Genomic DNA, 2,853 nt, shown 5'->3' on the forward strand with positions numbered 1-2,853 from the left:
AGTAGCTCATTTAGAGCTATTATAGTGTCAAAGTGAAATGGCTTGTGACTTATTTGATGTAAGAATTAAGGAAGAGGTCAAGGTTAATACTAAAGATGTGAGCATAGGCAAATGAACTGATATTGAAAAGAGGAAAATTAGACAAAGGGACAGTACTAATAGAATACCCAGGAGGTAACATAAAAATATAATAACAATGCTTTGTAATTTGGAGAAAAATTAAGGTACCAACTTTAGTGTATGACTGTTACTGTGCCTGACTTCTGAGAATATGATCCAATTTTGCCCTAAAGTTACTTCTGTTCTAAGAATCAAATATCTGGAAATGGAGAATAGAGTTTCGCTAATTTTTTTCTAATACAACTTTAAGTACCTTTATTTCAAAAGAGATGCTTTTCTATTTTATCTTTTAGGAAGAGGAATTGTATTTTTTTATTTCCTCATTAGTAAGCTCACTGCTATTTGTAACATTCTTTATGCTTTACAGTAGCAATTATACTTTCTAGTCCCCTGCCTAGCTTAATTAATGTCTAGTTTGTTAAAGAAAGAAGTATCTTCAGCTTTACTCTAGGGTAAGGAACAATGTAGCTACAAACTACTGATGATGGATCAGCCTGGGGACTAATCATTAGGTATATCCCGGCAGTGTGTAATATTAATTTGTGCTTATATTATTTAAATGAAAATCATGTTTGATCCTCCATCTCTCTTTTAGAGTGAAGACCTAAAATTCCCTCAGATGCATCCAAGAAATCATCTAGTCAAGAGTAGGGATGATAGGTCTAAGTACAAGAGAAGAGTTCAGCTTCAGGCTACTTGGGTACTAGTAAAAGCTAACATTTTCAGTGTGCCAGGCAACATTCTAATTGCATTGCATATATTTGTGGCTTTATTCCTTCCATATTTTTGAGGCAGATATTGTTATTGTTTGCTATTATACACCTGTGGAAAATCTGAAACACTGAAATGTTGTTGAACTAGAAGGTTGTAGAGCTGAGTTTCAAATCAGTCACTATGATTACAAAACTCATGTTCTTACACTGCCTCTTAGATTTAGTCCTATTAAATACCAGCACCTAAGCTTAATATACATATGATACTTGTTTACATGAAATAGTAAAAATAGGTTTAGTTAAATATCTATAAAATTCAGCTTTAAAGAGTAAGAAACTGCTACAGGAGAAAAGTAAAAACTTGAATTGTTCATCTGTTCAACACAATTTATTGAATACCTGCTACATTTAATCATCCAAATATATGACCACCCTTTATAGGATTTACCAGATACTTGGTTAAAACCACAACATTTTGCCATTTTTGCACAGAAAAAAATGGCCATTTAATTACCATGAAATATTTGCCCTGAACAAAATTTTTAAATAAAAGTATTTGTTCTCATTCTTTTGATGAGGAGAGTTTGGGTGGCAATTACGACAAGACAATTACTAAGTCACTAAATTTCGTGGTATGACCAGCATATGCTCTTGATTTATAGCTTTGAAAACGAACTGCTGATAAGCCAATTGTTTTCCTCCTAGGCCTTTATGTGTTAGCTTGCCCAAGAGGAATCACACCTCAGTGATCACTGAATATCTCCAGGAATCCATTATGCATTCAAGCGTCTTTCTCCTGAGTGGTAAAGTTCTGCTTGTTGAAACACTGAAATGACCTCTGCATTAGTCAGGGTTCTCTAAAGGGATAGAACTAATAGGATGGATGAATATATGGAGGAGTTTATTCAGAGAATTGATTCACAGGATCACAAGTTGAAGTCCCACAATAGGCTGTCTGCAAGCTGAGGAGCCAGGAAGCCAGTCCGAATCCCAAAACCTCAAAAGTAGGAAAGCCAATAATACAGCCTTCAGTCTGTGGCCGAAGGCCCAAGAGCCACTAGCAGATCACTGGTGTAAGTCCAAGAGTCCAAAAGCTGTAGAACTTAGAGTCTGATGTTCGAGGGCAGGAAACATCCAGCATGGGAGAAAGATGGAGGACAGAAGACTCAGCCAGTCTGCTCTTTCCATGCCTGCTTTTATGCTGGCAGCTGATTAGATGATGCCCACCCAGATTGAGAGTAGGTTTGCCTCTCCGAGTCCACTGATTCAAATGTTAATTAATCTCTTTTGGCAACACCCTCACAGACACACTCAGGAGCAATACTTTGCATCTTTCAATCCAATCAAGCTGACACTCAGTATTAACCATCACAACCTCCTTTACCAATGGAAACAGGTAGAAATAGCAGCTAGTAGAGGCAAGAGATGGACCCTTACCTTCTCTCATCCCAGAGGAAGTGTTCCTTATATACTTTTAGTTCCAAGAGACTGTATTTCTTTTTTCTCCTGTTATTTTCTCAGATAACTTTCATCTCTCTCATGTTTTCTTAACTTTGAGTGTCTAAACATCAAAGAATTTCTCCTGGGATAAAAGAAAACAAAGCTAATGCAAACAAATACACATTTTCAATGGGTCTGAAAAAATCCTATCTTGATGAAAGTTAGACTCTTATCCTAAAGCCATTATCTGCTACTCTGCACCACCCATCCCAGATGTAATAATCATACCAAATATGTGTTTTAGTGGATTGAAAAATAGACAATGCTCCTAAAAAGGGCAGCAGTCAATTATTTAACTTAAGAATGACATTTTGTCCTCTTAATTAGAAGTACAAAATGTCACTGTTTGTGGAATAGCAGCAGTTGAAACAAAATTCTTCTGCTTGATCTAGGATACAAAAAAACATAGGAAGTCTTTTTCAAAAGGTATAAAATAATTCTTGCAGTGTTCAAACTCTGTAGTTTACTTTACCTAACTCCTTTGACTCAATCTATAGCTTGTCCTCTGTTTCAATAGCAT

The sequence above is a fragment of the Homo sapiens genome, chromosome 5 (genome assembly GCF_000001405.40).
Source record: "Homo sapiens chromosome 5, GRCh38.p14 Primary Assembly".
Classification (NCBI taxonomy): Eukaryota; Metazoa; Chordata; class Mammalia; order Primates; family Hominidae; genus Homo; species Homo sapiens.